We start from the raw sequence: 23,871 nt of genomic DNA on the forward strand, positions 1-23,871 counted from the left end.
ATTCATTACAATGAAGCTCTTTAACACTGTGTTTGCATTCTTTAGTATATATCTTGTTAATAGTAGGCCCTGAATAAAGACCAGTTGAACAAATAAACTATTTTTCCATGTATTAATTCTTTAGTGAACTTGCTTATTTGTTCAGAAGAGACATTAAGCTAAGTATACAACACTCGGTAAATTTCAACTTCATCATATATATAATAATTATTTTTTTTTGAGACAGAGCCTTGCTGTGTCATCCAGGCTGGAGTGCATGGCCTGATCTCTACTCTCTGCAACCTCCACCTCCCAGGTTCAAACAATTCTCATGCGTCAGCCTCCTGAGTAGCTGTGATTACAGGTGTGTGCTACCACGGCCGGCTAATTTTTTTGTATTTTATTAGAGACGGGGTTTTGCCATGTTGGCCAAGCTGATCTGGAACTCATGTGCTCGAGCAATCCACCCACCTCGGCCTCCCAAAATGCTGGGATAACAGGCATGAACCACCATGCCCGGCCATCAGAAATATTTTATTTCACTATTTTAAAAAATTAGCAAAGAAGCAAATATGACAAAATGCTAACAATTCCAAAATGCTAATAACTTCTGAGTGGTGAGTATAAGTGTGATTATTATATTATTCTTAGTATTTGGTTTTTTTCTGTAGTGTGTAGTTTCCCTCCATGACACTGAGGGCTCAGATGGCTCTGACCTTGGAGACAGGGAGACATTTAGTGAAGGAATGGGAGGTAAGGAGCTGGCATCTCTGGTGTGTCCATCATGCACTGACCTGCACTAGATGTTTTGCTTCCAGAGTCTCCTGGAATGCTCCATGGCCTCCACGCATCGTAATTCCCATCAGCTTAAGGCAGCGAAGCGAATGCCCACAGTGCCCAAGTCACTTGCCCAAGGTTATCCAAGTCAAATAAGACAGAGATGAGATTCAAATTCAGGCCACAATGACTTCAAAAACCCTTGTATCCTTGTTTTGTTTCGTTTCCCTGCAAACATTGTTTTAGTTGAGATGAAATTCACGTAATATACAGTTAACCATTTTAAAGTGTACACTTCAGTGGCATTTAGTGAACTCAGTGTTATGCCACCGTCACCTCTTTTTAGTTTCAAAACTTTGTCATCACCCCAGAAAAGCATACACATAAAGTCATCACTGCCCCATTCCCTTCTTCCAACTTCTCTGCTTTTGGTCTCTGTGGATTTGCCTATTCTGGGTATACCACATAAAAGGAATCAAAGAATATGTGACCTTTTGTGTCTAGCTCCGTTCACTTAGCATGCTGTTTCCAAGGCTTGTCTAAGTTGTGGCATGTGTCAGTACTTTATTCTTTTTTATGGCTGCATAGTATTCCACTGCATGGATATACCACATCTTGTTTATCTGTTCATCCATTGATGGACATTTGGGTTGTTTCCGCCTTCTAGGTATAATGACTTGTGTTGCCATAAACATTTGTATACAAGTTTCTGTGTGGACATGTTCTCACTTTTCTTGGGTATATACTTAGGGGTGGAATTGCTGGGTCATATGATCAGTCTAGGTTTAACTTTTTGATGAACTGACAAACTGCTATCCACAGTGGCTGCCTGTACCATTTTACAGAAAATCTCTGCTTTTAATACTTCTGGATGTGTTCTAAGGCACTAGGCTTTTCATTAAGTTCATTTCTGCAGAAAGAGTTAAGGAGTGTTCTCAGGTAACTATAATCAACCCCCAGGGACTTACTCAAGTTGTGCATGTGCAACTGAAATATCTGGCAGGCATCCAGTCCCTGTTATTTCAGTCTCTCCCCGCCTCCCTGCCCACACCTCTGAAGCTCCATATTACCCAGGAAGGGACAATGGGGGGCCTAGAAATGTGGAGGGAGGCAAGAGAGTGATAATTATGCCATCTACACTTGTCGACTAGAATTTCCAGGTACTTTCACCTCTAGGCTCTTACCTGGCTTTTGTGAAGCCCCTCAGGGAAGAGGAGGAAAGCTGGGCAAGGGGGAGGGGTAAACCAAGTCCCAGGAAAGTCATTCCAGTTTCCCAAGATCCCGGAGCTTGTTTGTATCCAGCTGAGATCCAGTTGAGACCAGAATTCACTCTCTCCACACCTCCATCAGCTGTGGCCTCGAGTTCCTTAACATTTTTTAAAACAAAAAACTTTTGCATGGGAAAAATCCCTTTAGAAAGTTAAAGGTTTTCCTTATACAAACTATCTCACTTTGAAAACTGGCCCACTGTAAAAATCTTGATTCCGGAGCTTCCTTAAAAATCTTTTCACCCCTTTAAAGTGAAAGTTATGGAGAATCTATTAGATACAAATTAATACGGGCAAGGCGTGTGCTAGCTGTTTTATAAACATGATCCCACTTAATCCTCCACTTCACAATTCTGAAAAGTCAACAAATTTGGCCCATGGTAGAGAGGAGGAAACCAAGACTTGAAACATTAAATAACATGTCCAAAGTCTCCCATTTCAGAGACAGGGGCATTTGGCTCCAGGTTTTTCTGACTCTAGACAGTAGTTTGTTTTTAGCACATCAAATGTCTGAGACTTGTGATGTGTTAGAAAGCACAAAGGACTTTGATCACAAGATCAAGCCCCAGAGGGCCATGACTGCATAAACCACAACAACTGCGTGGCTGCCTGTCACGTCTTCATCTGCAAGTTGGAGGAACTTGGAGAAATGCAGTGCTTCCCTGCAGCTGCAGAGGGTCTCACTGAGCACTATTCTTGGAATTCTTAAAAGCTGGGCCTGTAAGCCTTTTTTGCATTTCCTTTCAGCCACCTCCTGGCTGTCCTTTTAAAGCCAGGGTAAAGTCCCCAGCACCCAGAATCAAGGATGGGGAAGAGGAATTTTGAGAATGTGCTTCCTGCTTCACACAAATAGCTAAAGACAGAAATGATGGCACAAGCCCTAACCAACAACTAGGAAGGTAGGTTGTCCAAGACAAATTGCAGTTTAGAATGGACCTGCCAAATGGGTGGGTGGGCAGGATGGCTGGGATCGCCAGTGCCCAACCTTGCCACAGCCTCCTTTTGTCACTCTAGGGACTACCCTTTTCCTCCCCAGACGTTTTTCCTGACTCTAAATAGTGGGAAAAGTCTGGTTTGAGATTGCTGTATTGCAGGGAAGTTCTTACAGCGGGCTTGATGGGCCCAGAAATCAAGATGGAAAAAAACAACCCTCTATGTTGATGGCCATGCACAGTGGCTCAGCAGAACTGGCTCTGTTGACCAGGCTTGGGTGCTCTCCTGCAGGGCATTGCAATCTTTAGGACACCTTCATTACCCCTCCTAAAAGGAGATTTTATAATGAGCGCCAACCAGCTCAAACAAGTTAGGATCTCCTAACATGTCTGGTGAAAATACAGGAGTATTTTTCATCATCTCTGGAAAAGTTGCTATCATGTCCTTCAATAACCCAGTCTAACCATGTTTTTCCAGTGGAAATGATTCCCGGTAGAATGTCCTATGTTCCTTTTGCACATTTCTCCTTACAAACATCATCTCATTTAATCCTCACCACAAAACTGATAGTGTCATCTCCAATTTATAGTTGAGGAAATAGAGGATCAGAGAAGCTACGTGATCTATGCAAGGTCCCCCAGCTAGGAAGTAGCAAAGATGGAATTTGACCCAGGTCTGACTCCAGAAGCACTTTCCTCTTTTGCCTCCTAATACATTTTCTTATAGGGAGCATCCTGCAATACAACTGTTAAGACCACTTAATGTTATCTTTGGATTAAAAATGGTACCACTCTCATAAATCAATGAGTTTCATACCCTAAATTATGCCAGATTAAGAAAATGAAATCTGACTGTAAATTACTTCTCTAGGAGCAAATGATTGCTTGATTCTATTGTAGAAAATAAAAATTTTTTACTTAAACCACACAAATTAAAAAATGGAACTCACTTTCACAGTCAAGAGTTACTTCTATTTTTTTTTACAGTAAATGCGCTCTTTAAGATGTTGCAAGCTCAATTCATGATTTTTTTTTCTTTTTCTGTATGTTTCTAAATTTAGAAGTTACATTTACAAGGAGGTAATTTGCAAGGTCATCCTTTTTTAAAGAAATTTAAGCAGGAGATGAGGTCTTTCCAGGTTTGAGGGTGATAGCTCGTGATTCTTCATCAACTTTGGCCAAACCTTCGTGGATTCCTGTGTGCTGATTATTAGTGCCTTGCCTACAAATTTTTAATACATTGACTTATCTAAATATTCCTGCATGCACACTCCCCAATCTAAGAAAAATGTGAGATGTTGGGAAATGTTTCCAAGAATAGACCAAAGGATTAGTCAGCCTAGAGAAGTGAACTTTAAGAGGAACTATGTTTATTCAGTGGTGATTATTTGCTGACCCAGTGCTAGGCACGTGAGAGTGAGAGGGATGGAATGCTTGCAGGAGTTGCCTTGGATATCACACACTGACTTGGGAGACACACATAGCGACAGATAATTACAACATAGGGACACCCGGGGAAAATGTAGACGAGGTTTAGGGGTTGCTCAGAGGAGGAATTAACTCTATAAGGAAGTATTCTGATAATGGCTTTCAATTATAGGACATATCTAATAACATGATTACATACTCTCTTAATAGTGTAGCACTATAGTTGTTATTTATTTCCCACACTGAACAAATATAATTATCATATACACCCTTTCCATTATTAGCTCTCTCCATTTTTAATGAAAACAGTGGTTGGTGGTTTATAAGAAGTTTTTTGTCGGTGTCATCTTTCACATCAGTTTGCTACCCAGAATTTAAACATTCCTTTTTTGCTGCTGTTTTAATTTGAAATAAGAATGGTAGCCCCCAGGTCCCCTAACAGTGGGTGCTGATTTCACAGTGGGCTTACAAATGCTCTTCAAGAGTATCTCAGTGTTGAGTCCAGCCACCCAAGGGAGACTGGTTCTTCACTGTGCATCATGGCCTTTTAATGCCATTTTGCTTTTTTATCATCCAATCAGCAGATGTTCTTTCTTCATTCACGTTGAAAGCACTTCGCTATGGAAACGAGTAAAGTTCATTGTCTTATTTTTTGTTTGTTTTGTTTTCTGATGTCCTGACAGCAGAATCAATCTTCGGAATCCTTTTCAATAAAAAAAAAAATTACCAAAACAAATATGATCACAGAAGCTTTTAAAATCTGAAATCCCAGGAAGCTAATTAGTGCATCCTTTTAAGATGGCTTCCTGCATTTCGATATACGCATAAGCTTGGGTTTCAGATGCAGTTGGCAGTTTGCCATGAGTCAGACAGGTCATCCTGACTCTCAGGAACACGGAGCTCCTGCAGAAGCCTGTGGAGCGAGGGCAAGTTGGGATCCTCCCCTGTGTTAGCACGTGACTGTCCTCTGTCACCATGTAGCAGGTGGAGGCCAGGAACTACATTTTCTTGGGTTCCTGGTGGTTAGTTGTACGCCCCATGAACTTCTCTCATTTCCTTAATTATATCCAAAATAATGCCCTTGTTTTATTTCCCCACTTGGCACTGAGCCTTAGGGAGCAGGAACTGTGTATATCCCACAGCTTTGCATGGCACTTGGCACGTAGGAATGTATTAAATGCAGCTGCTTTCGTGCAGGAAGCGCGGACTTCAGATTTGGTCAAAGATCCATGATTTCAGAGCAGGCAGCCCTTTTAAACCTGTATCTGAGTCACTTCAATGCCTTGTGTTTCTGCTCTGGGCTGCAAACTCAAGAGCAGCAACCACTTATCTTGGTACCTGTAGTCCCGAGCCCTGTGTCTGGCTCAGAGTAGGCCCTACATAAATGTTTGCTCCTCCTCACTGAGTGGCTGCATGAATTGCATCCAGCATGTCTACTCTGGGAAAGAACCTGTGGAGCCTCTTTAGGAGTGTGTTTTTGCCCTCCCTCGGAATCTGGTGATCTCACTACCAATGGCAAAGACAAACTGTGAGGTGTTTTTTTGTTTGTGTGCACGCGCACGTATGTGTGTGTGTAAAAAGGCCATGGAAATATAAAATTGTAACCTAAATGCCTTCACGGCCAGTTATGGTGGCTCACGCCTGTAATTCCAGCACTCTGGGAGGCCAAGATGAGAGGATCACTTGAGCCTAGAAGTTTGAGACCAGTCAGGGCAATATAGACTACCTGCAAAAAGAAAAAAAAAAAAATGCCAGGTGTAGTGGTGTGCGCCTGTAGTCCCAGCTACTCAGGGGGCTGAGGCAGGAAGATTGCTTGAGCCTGGGACGTCAAGGCTGCAGTGAACCATGATGGTGCCACTGCACTCCAGGCTGTGTGACAGAGCAAGACCCCATCTCTAAATAAGTAAATAAATGCCTCTGTGAATCCATTTCATTGCATTGGAAAGACCTCCAGGATTCTCTGCAGAAGAATCTTTCCCAACATAAAATCCATTGTTAATCACATTTGACACACATGTGTGCCCATGTCTCTGGGCCTGTGTCCATAGGCATCTACGTCACTGCAGAGTGAACCCTTTCGGTTCACATCACCTGCTCCCCTCCTGGGCCTCCTGAGGGGTGTGAGAGTGGCACATTCCACAGGAAGGGAACCCTGCATGTCCATGTGCCATGTGCCATGTGCCATCTTAGAGACGTAAAAACACTTTGTATGTTTGGGGTACAACTCAGTAACCCATTGGTGCAGATATGTGATTCTTAGGATGGCCCACATGGGTCTCTTTCACACACCCACGTGCATGACCCAAGTGAGCAAACAGGCAGAGACTGGGACCAGAAGCTCACTGTGGTTCTAAGCAAGCAGTTGAACTGGTGGCTTCTGATGGCCTGAGAAGCAGTTTCCCTTGATAAGTCTTCAGCCACACAAAAAGAGACTGTAGCTCACAACACTCACAGTCAAAGCCACTGGAAATAACTATTTCCTATCAAATAAAGCCTTTCTCTTGAAAAATTTGAAGAAAAAAAAAAAACCCACCTAGTGAAACCTTAGAATCAACCTGAAGGTTCAACAGCAGGTGAATGATTCCATAAATCATAGTATATTCACTTAATGGAATACTAGGTAGCCACTAAAATAAAATGACAGTTGGAAAAAATACTTATGATAAAAGGTTTAATGACAAAGTGGGGTTCAAAATGAGAGATACTCTCTGACTAGAACTATATTAAAAGAAAGATGGATGGGGGAGAGGACGGTGGGTGATATATTATCTACATAGATACTTTTTTTCACTTTTCAAAGTGTTTAATGTGTTGCACAGCCTTTAGAATTTGAAAATGTCTAACTTAAAATGCCTCCCTAGTGAAATCTGTGGCAGCTTATAAACTGGCAGGATACTGTATTTTCAAGATACGCAATTGTAAGTGGTGCTCACATACAGTCAGAATGTTTATTTGACCTTGATCTTGTGAGGGCTTGGTTCCCATGGCTTTGTAGAGTGAAAGGTCCTGAGAGGCAGGTTAGTGACGATACCGGGACACGTATTGTAGACAGGTTGATAAAGCAAGCTTCCCTCAGCCCAGTTTTCAGTGGCAAATGCCTCTTGGCCACCAATGCTGTACACTTTGTTTCTGTTTCCTTACCTGTCAGGCAGTTACTGAAAAATTATCTTTTCCCCCAAATACAATAATTAGTGCCTTGGCCAGACAAGTTACAGCAAATCCTTCAAGATTAAGAAGGGACTAGCCGGGTGTGGTGGCTCACGCCTGTAATCCCAGCTCTTTGGGAGGCTGAGGCAGGTGGATCACCTGAGGTCAGGAGTTTGAGATTAGCTTGACCAACATAGTGAAACCCCGTCTCTACTAAAAATACAAAAATTAGCCAGGCGTGGTGGCGCATGCCTATAATCCCAGCTACTCTGGGCCTGAGGCAGGAAAATCACTTGAACCTGGGAGACAGAGGTTTCAGTGAGCCGAGATCGCACCATTGCACTCCAGCCTGGGCAACAAGAGTGAAACTCCATCTCAAAAACAAAAATTAAGAGGGACTGATGTCCAGTGAATTTCTATGTCCGCCCTAAGCACTGAGGTGAAATGAAGCCTAGATGGTTCTTTTAGAATATGAGTGAGCAGTACTCATGGTTAATTTTAGAAGCTAATAAGTATATATTTGATAACTTTAACAGAAATATTAATACTAATTAAGAGTAAAAAGATGATGAATAAAGTAGCTTCACTTATTGAGCCTTTACTAGATGCCATCTTGCATAAATGGTTGTCATTTTGCAAAATGTATTCCATCTAATATTAGCAGTAACCCTGAGGACTTGGTATTCTTACCTGGATGTGTCTTATATCAACATGCACGCGTTCTCTCCCTCAGCATACCGTGTCTTATTAACTTCTAACCTCCCTCTCATTATCCCACCAATCTCTGCCAGTACAACCACATCAACTGTGCAGATCACTTCTCTAGTGTTTGGGATTTGGGGCAACCTACTGGGTCTAGCTATGACCCCATAAAAGTTGAACAACTCTGCCTTAATGGCGCTAATTTTTAATATGCCTCATTCTAGTTGCTTGAATTGAACGAAGGCATTTGAAAATTGCTGAAGTGCTTCTCAGTGATGAAATGTTACAGATCAGTTTGAAATCCAACTTTATTCAACATAAGAAAGCCTATATACTCTGGAGCTTAAAGACTGACCTTTTCACTTACTGTAAGGTATCTAAGACTTCTGGGTGTGGGTTTTAAATATATTTTGGATGAGCTTTGTTCATGTTTACACATGGCCACCAGGTCGGCCACAAAGCTGTGGCTCTGGTCAGTCTGACTCTCTTTAGCAGGAATCACGTGACAATCTGTGTCTGTGATTAGCTCCGTGGATATTACTAGGTAGATTTCTCACTTGTCCTTGTTTTGATCTTCATTCCTGGGTGAAAGAATCCCAGGGAGTGGAAAATGTAGGTAGTTCATAGGGCTCCTGACCTTCCATGGACTGTGTCTAACTCAGCTGTGATGAGGACGTGCTCTGATTCTGATGAAGGATGTTAGCATTAGAGGCAGGCCTGTGTGCCTGTTCTGTGTCCTGGCACCGATGTTTAACAAAAAAGATCCTTTCAGAGTTACTCATACGACTTACACATTCCCATGGGAGCTCCAACTCTGTTTGGTCCCAATGTGCCCTTTTTGTCTCACTCCTTCCTCCCACACATCCTGCTCCCCACTCCCCTAATTACTCATGATTGCACTAACAGCCACATCCTTTCACACCTCTGAGCTTTTGGTCATGCTGTAATCTCTACCTGAGTTCCATTCCTGCCTCCACCCTTGCCTGTCAAATTCCTTAGCTTCATGCCTTTGAATTTTAGCAGAAATGTTACCTGCTCTATGAAACTGGATTTTCCCTTTGTCTCCATTCCCTAAGCTGCACATTAGAGCAGCTGTTACAGTTTGAAGTGACCCCTATATGGATTGTTTGCACACCTGTGTTGCAAATGTATTAGTTAGGATAGGCTGAGCTACAGTAAGAAATAGCCCCCAAAATGCATTATAGCTGAAACCCCCAAAGGGGGATTTCTAACACAGAAAGCAACATAAGTGGGTAGTCCTGGCCAATGGCAGCTACGTTCCACAAAGTGACTCAGGGATCCAGGCTGCAGCCACTTAGTGGTTCCATTCTCCCTGCTGATATCTGCATCCAGTCATCTGGTATTTCTTACCAGCCTTAACCTCATTCTATTGGTAAGCACTAGTCACATGGCTATCTCCCACTGAAAAGTAGGATGTCAAATATCCTCTAGCCCTTTGCTCAGGAAGAAGAGCAAATGGATTTTTGTTAAGAAGCTGGCAGTCTGTCACAGGAGCTACTTGAGGATACACACAGTTTTCTCCCCATTAGCATCTGCAGTCTCTGGTATAAACTTGAGTCTTCTCTTTGGTCCCTGATAAATATACATAGAATGTATGGATGTGAGAAAGTTAAACTGATGTCTGTGTGTCTTCATGTCATTAAACTTTGAATCTATGGACATGTCTTTTTCTTTCTGGCATAGTTTGGAGGTCTTCATTTTATGATAGAATACAAAACACCGAGGGCTTTAAGGAGGCATAGTGGTATGTTCAGCTGTATTTTCTCATAATATAGAGTCATAGGAAACCTGAGCCTTGGCATTTGTAAGGCAAAAAGACCCCTGGAAAAGAGTAATATAGTAATTCATCTTTATTTGAAAAGTATATCATCATCCATTTATTTCCCCACTGGCATAATCCAGGCCGACTTTGGCTCCCCTTCCTGTGAAATGCACCCTTTCCCTCTCATCAGTTTCCACCCCTCCTGCTGAAAATGGAGTACAATGAATAGATGTATAATAAAATCTTTTAATTGTCTTAGCATATGTTGCTTTTATTAGGTGGGCATAATTGCATTCATGGGATCACCTACAAAGTCCTTTCGAATATAAAATTGAAATGGCTTCACACTCAGTGCACAAGTCCTTCTGAGGCACTGTTTTCCCCTTCGCTGCCTCCGGTTCCCCTTTTGCTGTGAAGTTCACATTGAAGTGTGAAAAGAGAGACGTGGCAACTGACACATGCTGGATCTTATCAGCCGCGAGTGCCGTTGTGGCCGACTGAAAAGCGACTGTCATTTCTACACCATTTATTCCTCGCCTGGCCTCATTGCTCGCTTCGTTTCGGAGGAAATTTTCCCTGTTAAAGTACTGTACTTGTCATTTATTTCCCTTTTTTCCACTCTCCCTCCGTGGCTGGGTTTGGATATGCATTTATCCAAAAGGCAAGGCTTTTACACACTTCCGCTAACCTCTTATGGTCAGGCTCATAAAAGCAACCCAACAAAGCTTTTATGGGGTCATTACAGATCCCTCAAATCCCTCTCCTTCCAGCTTTCAATAATTCTCTTGTCTCTAATCAATTCACCGGCTCTTTTATTTGAAAATGGGTGATGGAGTGGGGGAAAAAAGTGGGAGCATCAGCTGAAAACCCACTTTATTTGGACTAAGGTTTCTCAATGTGTGTTCAGTTCTGGCTCATGCTTGGCACTTACATTTGAGCCATATTCAGTAGTCCCAGCCTTACTTATTCTTTTACAAAAAGGGTCAGCAGACTTTCTGAAAAGGGACAGATAGTAAATATTTTAGGCTTTGTGGACCATAGGGCCTGTGTCAAAAGTACTAAATGTTACCATTTTCCTTACTTTGTTCAGGCTGCTATAACAGATACCATAAACTAGGTAGCTTATAAATAACAGAAATGTAATTCTTAAAGTTCTGGAGCCTGGGAAGTCCAAGAGCAAAGCAACGGCAGATTCAGCTTCTGTTGAGGGCTCGTTCCCTGGCTCATAGATGATGACTTCTTGCTGTGTCAACTTAGTGGGAGGGGATAAAGCAGCTCTCTGGGGCTTCTTTTAGAAAGGCACAAATCCACTCTTGTGATCTAATCACCTTTCAAAGGCCCTATCTTCTAATATTATCACATTGGAGATTCCTTTTCAACGCTTGAATTTTTTGAGGATGCAAACCTTCAGACCATAGCACTATCATAGTGCAAAACAACCATGGACAATACACAAATGAACAAGTGACTATTTGCTAATAGTTTTATTTACAAAAAACAAAAAACAGTGGGCAGGATTTGACCCATGGGCTGCAGTTTGCTGATCCCTGTTTTATTAATTAGTTAATATTATTGATTGAGATAGGGTCTCACTGTGTCACCCAGGCTGGAGTGCAGTGGTGCGGTCACAGCTCACTACAGCTTCAACCTCCTGGGATCAAGCAGTCTTCTTGCCTTAGCCACCCGAGTAGCTGGATGACAGGTGAGCACCACCATGCCTGGCTAATTTTCTAAATTTTTTGTAGAGACAAGGTCTCACTGTGTTGTCCAGGCTGGTCTCAAACTCCTGAGCTCAAGTGATCCTCCCGCCTCGACCTCTCAAAGTGCTAGAATTACAGTTGAGAGCCACCACACCCAGCCTGATTCCTGTTTTACATATTAAAAATTTCATCTCTCCAATCTTCGAAGAATCCGTAGTCCATTTTTAAGTAGCTCTTGTCTTCCAAAGGTATGGGATGTGCCTACCTAATGCTCTTCCTGGATGGGAGAATATTACCAAAAACGTTTGGTCGACTAATTTTATGACAGTTTCCAACTACAATTTTTTTCCTCTTTGCTTTCTTTTGAATAATAGAAACAATTTTTTTTGTTTAATATATCTTGAAGTACTTCACTTAAGAAATAACTTCATGGTGGCACAGAGAGCTGTTTAGTTAGAAGACTGAGTATTATATTTCCCATTGACTATGCAGGACCTTCTAGGGAAATGTGAGTTTATCATACTCCTGCAAGGTAAATGCAGCAGTGAGAAGAATCAGTCTACTGTGCTAAACCTGGCCCTGCCTCAGCAATATTCTGTGAGCCTGGAGGTCAAGAGTTAGGGGACCAAGGTCCTGCTAAGGACACATGGGGGAACTACCAGAAACTCATCATCTCATTTAAACTCACAAAACCTGGAAGGGACATAATTAAAAGTCCTGTCTTCCAAAAGTGTAGCATTAAACTCAGAGATGTAAAACAACGTGTCTAAATGCCAGGTAAGCAATGCTTACTTGACTTGGACCAGGGTGGTGAATGAACATAAAAACCGATTACAACATTTTTCCATTTTTATGTTTCCTCTGAAACCAGCCATGAGAGGTACTCTTAGCAAATCACGCCTTATTCCTAGGCAGACTTCTTGGGTACACTTTCCACCCTCCCCAGCAGTAATGCCTGACCAACTAATGGAATCCTAACTAATGCAGTATGTGACGCCTGGCAGCTCCAGTCCGAACCAAGGGAAAACCTGCAAACATGCAATCCTTCATGCTTTTGTTTTTGTTTTTCCTTCAGCCTAGCTAAAATGAAGGCAACATTCAGAATGATGTTAGAATCTAGGTGTGGAAAGCAATGTAGCTTCTGGCTGGTTCCTTGAGTGACCATGTGGAGCAGAGCTTCCCTTCCATTGTATTTGAGCCACTGGAAATCTATTACCTGATCTTTCTTTACCAGATCCTTCTTTAGTTGGGTATGGCCAGGCTCAGTGAATCCAGTAGATGTTTGAATGGGAAAGGACTGAAAGATCTCAACCTTGAATCCCTTAACTCCTTGGGATGTGTAATGGAGATGTATAAGCTGTTTTTAAACATTTCAGCAGCTGTCATGGAACTTAACCAAATGAGTCTAAGTACCCTATGAACACATTTGATTTAGGTTGGAATTACAGCATAGATGTGAAGTGACTTGTCCAAGGACACACAGGTGATGAAGTTTACATACAAGACTTAAGTCCATGTTACTGGATTCCTAGACCAGGTTTTTTTTTTCCCCTTATCCCATAGAAGATGGTTGTTGTCTTGAGGTTTCCACTGAGTTGCTTTTTGAGAGATTCTATTGTGCACTTTTGCCCAGTTCAACAAGAAAGAATCTTTGCTATGTTAGAAGAGACTCTGGGGAATCCAGAGTCTTGGTCACGGGTACATCAAAACGACGCTGGTGCCTAACTTCTAGTTCCAGACAAAGAAGGAGAGAGAGAGAGATCAGTAATTTATAGGCTGACATTTTCCTTGGGTCCTTATAATACTTGTTTATTACAGATAATTTGCTTAAGTGTGCACAAGGTGGAAGGTCACGCAAGGAAGCTTTTTATTAGTTGTGTACTGAATGGATCAATAGTGATTTGAATACTATAAATCTATCCGTTAACAGGTTTATTTCTTCATCAGATATTAATTCCAGAGGGTTTCACCCATTATAAAATGGACATAAAGCCTGGGGTGGTGATGGTGCTGCCTCTGTAACCAGGCTCAGCTGTGTGTCTTCGTGAGCCTCCTTGTGGACCCTCAAATGTGGGAAGGAGATAGGGGCAGGAGGAATTGGGGAAATAGGAACCTTAGAAACCCTGAAGAAGTGGAAAGAGAAAAGGAAGGTCAGTCATTCATTCAATTGCTTAATTTGCTTCTTTCTTTTTCTCTTCTTCTTTCTCTCTCTTCTCTCTCTCTTTCTCCCTCCCTCCCTCCATTTCTTCATTCCTTTCTTGTCTCCCTGTCTATCTGTCTGTGTATATCTATTCATCTATCCATCCATCCATCCATTCATCAATCCATTTATCCACTCTGAATAGAAACCTAATATAGATATACAAAATGAAAAACTAGGAAAATGCAAGAAACCTTGACAAAATTGCTACTGTTTCTAATTCCAATACTTAATAATAACCACTGCTACATACAAGGACATTTGTGTCTGGTCTTTTTCCCTATTCCAGGCACATGCATTTTAATACAGTTGAGATCATATTGTATGTCTGATTTTTTAGCGTATTAGATTTTTTACATTATTAAGTTAATACATGCTCATTTAAATAAGTCAAACAATATGAATATATAAGAAGAAAACGCTCGTAATTTATGCTCTACCTCTTCCCTTTGCTAAGTGGCAATTTTGGACCTTCTGTGACCGTGCAAACATGCAGATTATACATGCACTATAGGAGTGGAATGTATGTGACTTAATAGCGTAATATTTTGTCCATTATTTTAAAACTTGCTTTATTTGGTCAAGACATACGGAACACGTATAGATCAAACAAAAATTTTTAAAAATGCTTGCATACTGCTCTGTGCTGTGGAGTAGCCCTAATTAAATCAATCATTCCTCTGTTTATGGGCATTCCATTTCTTTTCAATTTTGATATTATTGTTGTTTTAGCCCTTATGAATACTACAGCAATATATGTTATTATATACTGCTGGTTTTAATTTTGTAGGACAGATGGGATTTCTGAGTCAAAGGTCAGGTGACATAATTTTGTATCCTGTGGTTTTACTTAACACTATGCAGAACGATTTCCTCGTATTGTTGAAAACTCTTGGTAGGGGTTTTTTTTTTAATTGGCTGGAAGCACTTCATCATATAGTTGTACCAAAGTTTGCTTAACATCCCCCTTATTACTCAGCCTTTGGGTGGTATCCAGTTCTTTGCTTTGATAAATAATGCTGAGATGAACATCTTTCTGCATGGCTCTTTTTCCTTCTTTTGACATACTTGGAGTTCTAGAAGTGGAATTACTGGGTCGGAGGTCACAAATGGAGAGGTCTTTTAAATCTCAGCCTGCAAACAATCCCACTGCAGGTTTAGGCTGCATGTTTCATCCATTTGCAGCTGTAGCATTTTACAAACCACAGCATAAACCCTAGGAATAATTCTGTTCCCCACTGGGATAGAGCATTGTTATTAATATAATTTTACAAACATCATTCGTTTGAAAGCTTTATCCAGCCTCACCACAGCTCATTAGTGAACCTTCTGACAATCCCGGGGCAGTTTGTGGATTCTGCAGCAGACAGGTTATCGTGTGCTGAAGGGTACCGCAGGGGAACCTTCCAACATCCCCACCCTACCCAAAGGATGATTCCTGCTCACACCAGCCAGCTGGAGACATTAGAGCATTACTTCTCGGTGGCAAGGGAGGGACTCTTGTTCTTTCTGGTGGTTCGTTTTCATCTTCAGGTCATGCCCTGTGTCACCTGACTCAGGCACCATTAGCATCTGGGGCTGTACACGTCTTTGTACTGCACACTGTAGGGTATCCAGGATTCCTGGCCCTGCCCCATGATATACCAGCGCCATGTTGTCATCAAAACGACCGGAAATGCCTTTTGTGTCTCCCTACTTCCCTTTTTAACATGTCAGCCCTTGGTCTCGATATTCACATCTATATTTTTCCTTATCCCGTTAATATATGTTATCTAAATATGTGCCATCTTTGTTTATGGGCTTTTGGTGTAAGAACTCTCTGAGAATGCAGTGATTCTTCACTGGGATTGGAAGGGATCAGAAGGAGGGAAAGTAATTAGCGGGGCCTGTTATAATGGGGTTGGTGGGGTTATTTGTGCTTTTAAAGTAGAATATCAGGGTGTTTAAAAGCCAAGATTCTGGAGTCAGAAGGCCTGGGTTCAAATCCTGACCCCTCCTCTTGCAAGCTTGTGACACCGGGCAAGTTATTAACCTCTTTATGCCTTTATTTTACTATAAATATGGGATAATTATAGTTTTTACTGCATAGTTTTGTTATGAGGAGTAAATGAGTCACTATTTCTGAGACACTTCGTGCCTGGCACAGAACGAGCACTGTGTGTGTGTTACAGAAATATATGTGGGTGGGTGTGTTTCTGTTTTCCGTAATTCCAGCTAGGCAAAGACATATTTAACAAAAGCCTTCTGGGCTGATGAGCATCCTCAGAAAGTAGGCTGAGGGAGCTCTTTTAAGGCAGCAGGACTAAGAAGGTAAAGACATGTACTAGGCGGGTCAGCATAGTGGTGGCCCTCGTCTGACACACATATTTCAGGAGGGGTCACCCCTGCCGTCTTCCATGTTGGGGTGCTCTTCTCTGGCAACCCACTATGGGTACTCCACTGCTGGCCTTCATGCAGGTGGAACCACACCGGGAAGACCCAAGCCGAGGGGAGAAGGCGTGAGCAGAGCAGGTGGCAGGCACCATGAGGCAGGGCTAGCCTTGCCCACTGTCTGTGGCTGACCAGCTAGACTCTTTTCCTTTTCTTGCAAACCTAATGTAGGTACAAGGTCAAGGCTCCCTGTGAGGCTTGCATAGCACCTTCAACCTTCTAGTCTTTGTCCTCCCAGAAGGAAAAAAATGAGAGGAGGGAGGGACACAAGAAAAGAAGATGCATTTTGTCAGCCACCGTGCTATGAAATGCTAGCGCAGATGACGTTCAGAACTGCCCTGTGAGCAGACATAAAAGCTTAGGCTCAAAGAGATTAAATGTCTTATTTCTGCTTTTGGAAGATACACATTTTATTTTTTTCTGTGTCTCTGAATTGGCATCCAACCATAATCATTGTGCTAATTTACTGTATTCTTACTCTCCCTCTCCAGTGCTGTGAGTAAATCAGTGTGTTCCTTATACTTAATAACATACTAAGTGGCAATAATAATTATTATAACAAATGTATCAAATAACTATGTGTGAACTCTGCATGTTTCAGCCCATTTAATACCCATTACCTACGGAGGTGGTTTCTACTATTGCACCCACTCTACAGATGAGAAAATGGAGGCACAAAAAGTTAAATCATCTGCCCTAGGTCCCAGAGCTGGAATTTGAACCAAAGGTTCTGTGCCTCCCAAATTTGTATTCTTATCTCTGCATCACACTAACACTGTCACTCAGTCCTTTTCTCACTGCTCTGGTCTCTATACTTAGAGCTTCGAGACCTGCCACTCAGATGACTCCAGAAGAAAACACGCTTTGGTGTCGTGCTTGCCTTTGCCCTTGTCACTTTCTCAACTCTCCTCACCTCTGTGACTGCATCTTTATAACTCTCCTTTATTAGTGCTTTTGCTGGAGGAGGCAAGCATGAACATTGTCAAAAGGACTCAAAATGGGGAAAAGTGGCAGCAATTGCCAGCACAATCACTGAAAAATCTTCTGAATGGATTGTAAATTAAACCCTCCCCCAAATGCTCAGAACTGTTGAATTGACTAATTCAAATTCATTGAGTCAGATGCAGTTAGTGTAACAGTCTATAGTAACAGTGTAGACTATTAGTTTGTAGAGTCCACACAGAAGAGTCCAATTTTCTTTGCACAAAGAGCCTACCATTCATTTATTCAACAAATGCTTTTGAACACCCATCACTGTGACAGACAGTGGCAATGCATGTAGGAACAAAGTGTGTCCATGGGGGCAGAGACCTGGAATAATCAGTCACCATGTAAGGAAATTCACCAGACCACCAATTTCCACGCCTTGTATGTTTCTGTTGTCTTTGCTGCAGACTGACCAAAAGCACAAGACAAACTCTTGTCCACTTGGATTTTAGCATCTTTCCCTGACCCTGCCTCTGACTCTGGTGTTGTGCACCCACTCTGCAACTCTCCAAGCTCCAGCCCTGTAGTGCCAGCCTGTACCTGCCTCTCCTGAGGGTCAATATGGCATCCAGCCTTGGTGAAGTCTCCCACCCCGTGGTGATTCATATCTGACCCTGAGAATTTTCCACCTTTCCCAGAAGAGTGGGAGTCTAGGAAGACAAATAGCCAAGATAGGAGTTTGAAGAGGAGGCACCAATGGCAATTTGGGTTGTTAATTCCTCCAGCTAATTTAGTTCTGATTTCCCCATGCTCTTGGCAGTGAGACAGTTGGCTCCAGAGGAAGGTGATAAAAAGGAATCAGTCAAGGAACAATCAAGAACGTGTTACTTTTTTGGATAATCATTGGCTGTAGGGATTCTCCTTTACATTTTAAAGAGGGATGAGGTTGAGTCTGTCCCTAGCACTGACAATGAAACATTTATGCTGTTTATAAAAATCAGGAAACACACAAATAATTTGATTAACGCTCACCTTCTGGTCCTTTTGTGATTTGAGAGGTCTTGAGATAAGAAAAACTGTGGATGAATTTTACTGAACTATTGAATTGAGAATGGCTGAGGGGGAGAGGCCCCTTCCCTCTGTGAAATATAGGGAAAAGTTGTTTTTCTTTTCTCCTAGTTTCAGAATACTTGGACTTACAGTCCCAAATAGCATCATTTCCTGGTGAAGCCCCCTGAACCAGACAGGAAACTGCCTCTCTTCAATAAGAGCAGAGGCAGTCTCAATAAAAAACAAAATTTCAACCCATCCTCCGCTTTGGTGGCAGGCAGTTCATCTTCTCACCTCTACTTATTTACAGTTTGAGGGGAAAAAAGAGGTAATACTTGAAAGTGTATTTGACCATATTTTCTAACTGGGAGACAATTTTTTTCTTTAACAATTACTTTTGGACATATTACTTGTTAGTTAAAGGAGATGTGACACCTCCTGCCCCCTGGCCAGCCAAGATCCATTTGTCATCCAGGTAGCCTCAGAACGGATTGAGAGCTCGCCGCACAGATCTCATGTCAAAGACAGGCGCGTCTGTCTTTCACGGCTTGGGTTGTCAGGATGCAGGGAGGGCCTTTTGTCAAACACCTGCCGATGAGCGTTTGGCAGAGCCTGTGCTAAGACATCATAGATTTCCTTCTGTGTTGTCTTGAGAGCAGAGAAGGTGGCAGGTTAAAGGGAATCAGGAAAGAAATGAGAGTGAGGATAAACGAGAGGGTGTGGTTCTCAGGGTAGAATGCATCGGACACTGCCTAGTGTGAGAAGGGACTCATCTGTTTTCTAGGAAGTACTATAAAAAAGATAAATTTAGTGCTCAGATATCTGAGGCCTGATATTAGGAAAAATACGGTAAGGCATACATTTAGAACAGATGCCATGTCTGTGTGTGTGTGTGTGTGCATGCGTGTGTGTGTGTGTGTATTATTAATATGTCTGCTGGCCTTGAGAAGGTACATTCAGAGAATTTTCTGAAGTCTTTTTCACATGGCCTGTATTGTCAAAAAATGATGTTGGGTGTTTTCTGCCTGTGGCTGTGGGCCTCTGTGTTCACACAGATGGTCATATGTTCCTAAAGGATACATCCAGGACTGTGCTGACTTATTTGGGGTGGCTGAGAAGAGACATGAGCCAGATGATAACAGGAATAATTCAGTGTGTGCTTCCCATGGCTGCTGTAACAAACTGCACAGCCTAGAGGGCTTCAAACAACAGGAATATTATCTCACAGTCCTAGAAGCCAGACGTCTGAGACCACAGTGTGGACAGGGCCATGCTCCTTCTCTAGAGAACTCTCCTTGCTCCTCTCGCTTCCGGTGGTTCAGTGGCAACGCTTGGTGTTTCCTGGCTTGCAGCTGCAACTATCTGACCTCTGCGTCTGTCCTCCCACGGCCTTCTCCCTGTGTGTTTCTGGATCTCTTCTCCTTTGTTATCAGGACACTGGTCACATTGGATTAAGGGCCTACCCTATTCCAGTCTGACTGCATCTTAACTGTTTAACTCTGTATTCCAATCTAATTACATGTCTATTTCCAAGTAACGTCACATTCTGAGGCAATGGCGGTTGGGACTTGAACATATATTCTTCGGGACATGATTCAACCTATAACAAGTAATACTAGTAATCATCTCACTCCTGTAAACAGTACAGTTGCCATACCTCAAGTATCTAGTATACTTGGGACATTAGTCTGGGAATTTTTCTCCAATCCTCACGCTAGCATTTCTAGTAATGAGGAAACTGGGGGTCAGGGAAGCTTAGTCCACATTTCTCACCTTTTCTCCTTTTCTCCCATCCCCCAGCCAGTTTTTCAACATATTGGTTTTTCACCACATGCTCACTGCAGTGAATGTTCACTCCCAAGCCCAAAAGTAGACATGTGGAGTGACAGGTGTCACTATATCATAATATGAAGAATTTCAAAAGCCAGAAGTGCTTGAGAAAATATAAATTGTGCAGTAAAAGAAAACACCCTAAATGTGCAGAGCAGGAAGTAGAATGACTCTTTGGGTATTGTGTTTGTTAGGGGGGTCATTAGAAAATCATAGACACTGAGCCGAACCCCCTGGGTTCAAATCCCAGCTCCACCACTTACGAATTGAATGACTTTGAGAAAGTTACTTAAATGCTGCGTACTTCATTTTCCTCCCCTGTAAAACGGGTTAATATCAGCACTTATCACATAGTTTTTGAGAAAGCTAAACGTGCTTATCTATAGTGGTTATTATTACTAGAAAGAATATCGTGGTGCCCCCAAACATGGATTTAACAAGCATTGATCAAATACCTCCTATGCCCCTACGAACCAGGTACTAGAAATCCACTCCTTTCACTTGCTTTTGTTCTGTTGTGTTTTTGAGACAGAGTATCGCTCTGTCACCCAGGCTGGAGTGCAGCGGCGTGATCTCTGCTGACTGCATTCTCCATTTCCCAGGTTCAAGCGATTCTCCTGCCTCAGCCTCCCAAGTAGCTGGGACTACAGGCCCCTCCACACCGCACACCGCCACCACGCCCAGCTGATTTTTAGTGGAGACAGGGTTTCACCATGTTGGCCAGGCTGGTCTTGAACTCCTGACCTCAAGTGATCGGCCTGCCTCAGCCTCCCACAGTGATGGGATTACAGGCATGCGCCACCATGCCTGGCTAATTTTTGTATTTTTAGTAGAGATGGGGTTTCACTATGTTGGCCAGGCTGGTCTCGAACTCCTGGGCTCAAGCAATGCACTGGCCTTGGCCTCCCACATTGCTGGGATTACAGGCGTGAGCCACCATGCCTGGCCCCCTTTCACTTGTATTTTTTGAGAAGAGAAAGAAAGAATTATGAATGAATTCTTCTGAGCTGTGAGTCCTTCCTGTGCACCAGGCATGGATGGCAAGGCACGATTGATAATGTTCCCTCTTATCTCGAAATGTCCACTCTCTCTCCCATGCACGGGGAGTCAAGCTGTGCTCTTCAAACACAAATTCCTTCTCCCACTTCCTGGGTAGTTATGCTCTTTTCTTCCCTGAGGTTGCTAATTGTGGGCAGTACAGTGTAGAGTCACTTTGATTTTTCTCATCTCCTTCCTGGAATGTGCCACAGAAGAAAACCCACGAAGTCTTGAGCTAAACGAAGCAGAGATGGGAGAAGGGACAAGGTGGGAGGCGGTAGTGGTGCTGCATGGGATAAAAATGGAAACACACACTTTTGCCCTCTGTACCCAAAAGGAAATGTCGGTGGAGGCAGGCGTTCAAGCTGGCCTCGTGTTTGTGGTTTTAGACACAGCTTTGAGTCGTGACCGGTGTGGCCAAGACCTATTTCCCTTGCAAATGCTCTCTCTCTTTTTTCGGTAACTGTGTTACTAAAGTTCTCTTAGATACTTTACATTTCCTTTCACGGATTTCCAAAATTTCTTTCTTTGAGAATGTCAGGACCAGTAGGAGGTTCAGCACGCATTGCCAGAGAAATCACAGATGACTAATTGGAATGCCTCAGAATCATTCTCCTTTTGTTTCACCTAATTTCCACACTTACGAAGTCAAACTCTCAGTTAAATGTTTATCTAGCAATTCATTTCTTCTGAGCCATCTGTTGCTAGGCAGGATCTGCAGACCTCTTGGTTGCATGTGCTGGGTTGGGTCCTCCAAGTCTCTTAGCACAAAGTCCTGATGTTTAAATCCTGCAAGCGAATTGCCACCTTTATTTCCAAGTTCTCCTCGAAATCCACATTCTTCCCTACAGACAACGGTGGGGTTCAGTGTTTGCTTTTCCTGGGGCTGCTCGGTTCTCTCACCTTGCATTTCTGTGGCGCCAAGGTAAGCTGAAGGCATTAGTATTCACACTTGTGTGTGAGCAGCTGAGCTAACATGCACCAGAGGGAAAATATTACTTCTCATAAATGCTCAATAATTATAGTCTTTATTGCATGCAAATCTATATTGTGACACATAGTGGAAAGCTTTTGGATTCTGTGTGGAAGAGTTGACAGAGATTTGCAGGTGAAAAAGAAAAGAAAAAAAATACAGATACGTGTATATATAGAGAAAGACAAAAACTTGTCTGCTAGAAACCTAGGGAGAGAGATGGTATTGCCCCTGGGACATTGGACTTTCTGTTTCCAGCATGGTCTGTCGTCTTCCATAATGGCATTTAATTTTGGAAAAATTGCCTGAGCATTTGGAACAGGCATCTATTAGGAAAGCCTATTTCTTTTTTTTTTCTTTTTGTTTTTTCTGAGACAGGATCTCACTTTGTCACCCAGGCTGGAGTACAGTGTCACCATTGTGGCTCACTGCAGCCTCGACTTCCCAGGCTTAGGTGATCCTCCTGTCTCAGCCTCCCGAGTAGCTGGGACTACAGGCATGCACCACCACTCCCAGCTTTGTGTGTGTGTGTGTGTGTGTGTGTGTGTGTGTGTGTGTGTGTGTGTGTGTGTGTTTTGTAGAGACAGGGTCTCACTGTGTTGGCCAGGCCGGTCTCAAACTCCTAGCTTCAAGCGATCCTCCTACCTTGGCCTCTCAAAGTGCTAGGATTACCTGCATGAGCCACTGTGCCCAGCCTAGGAAAGCATATTTTTGAGGAATAATTATTTCTAGTAATTTCTGTTCTAATCTAAGGGGTTTGAGGTTATCTTTTGACAATAGATGTTAGCTAGGAGAGATAAGAAATGGAGCAAGGGAGGGGTTTCATCCCGCCGTGTTCATTTGCTTGGCTGTCCTGAAATTGCGAATACACAGTTGTTACCTGCTCCCGGTGGGAGGGGGGGGATATTTATTTGGCATCTTGCAATTGATAGGAGCTGAGTGATTTTAGTAGGTAGTTTAACTCCTTAAAAACTTCCAGTGGTTTCATATTCTACCTAGTTTTAGGTGACAGCTGGTATGGGGTGGGGAAGGGGGGGGGGATAAAGATATTAATTTGGAAGCATTTGATTGCTCCATTATTTTATCATCTTCCCATGGAAATGTTTTCATAACGCCTTGTTTTTTAATTATTATTATTATTTTTTGAGACAGAGTCTCACTGAGTCGCCCAGGGCGGCGGTGTGATCTCGGCTCACTGCAACCTCAGTCTCCCAGGTTAAAGCAATTCTTCTGCCTCAGCCTCCCGAGTAGCTGGGATTTTAGGTGTGCAACACCACGCCTGGCTAACTTTTGTATTTTTAGTAAAGACAGGGTTTCACCGTGTTGGCCAGGCTGGTCTCGAACTCCTGACCTCAAGTGATCTGCCTGCCTCAGCCTCTCACAGTGCTGGGATTACAGGCGTGAGCCACCGTGCCCGGCCTCATATCCTTTTTTATGGAAAAAAAAAATCGGGAATTAGCGTGTAGCTATTAGGCGTAGATTCCTGCCTAAGGTCTGGATATGAATTCCAAAGACCACTGGACTTTGGAATATTCGTAGGTCTCTGAAAATTCAGACCCACAGAGGCCTTACCCCGCTACAGAGAGGCCCCAAGAGAGAGGCCTCACACCCTCTGGCTCCACTGAAATTCACTTCACGTTTCCAACTTGGATTAAACTGGCACGACAGTTCAGTCAAATGTCAAGTCCATTTTGTCAAGGGAGGGAA

The 23,871-nt window shown here is 42.8% G+C and overlaps 1 protein-coding gene across 2 annotated transcripts in view, besides 1 other annotated feature; it reads left to right on the forward strand.

Annotated features, from left to right (window-relative positions):
* Positions 1–23,871, forward strand: part of WWOX (WW domain containing oxidoreductase) — a 1,113,014-nt gene that overhangs the window by 1,067,087 nt on the left and 22,056 nt on the right. The gene's annotated exons all lie outside the window — the stretch shown is intronic.
* Positions 3,074–3,646: an enhancer, noted in NCBI's record as "H3K27ac hESC enhancer chr16:79203711-79204283 (GRCh37/hg19 assembly coordinates)". NCBI's record gives its function as "activates a minimal SCP1, AML or CMV promoter by ChIP-STARR-seq in primed H9 embryonic stem cells {active_cell/tissue: H9 hESC(primed)}" and the evidence as "EXISTENCE:reporter gene assay evidence [ECO:0000049][PMID:30033119]".

Source organism: Homo sapiens, chromosome 16, assembly GCF_000001405.40.
Source record: "Homo sapiens chromosome 16, GRCh38.p14 Primary Assembly".
Taxonomy (NCBI): Eukaryota; Metazoa; Chordata; class Mammalia; order Primates; family Hominidae; genus Homo; species Homo sapiens.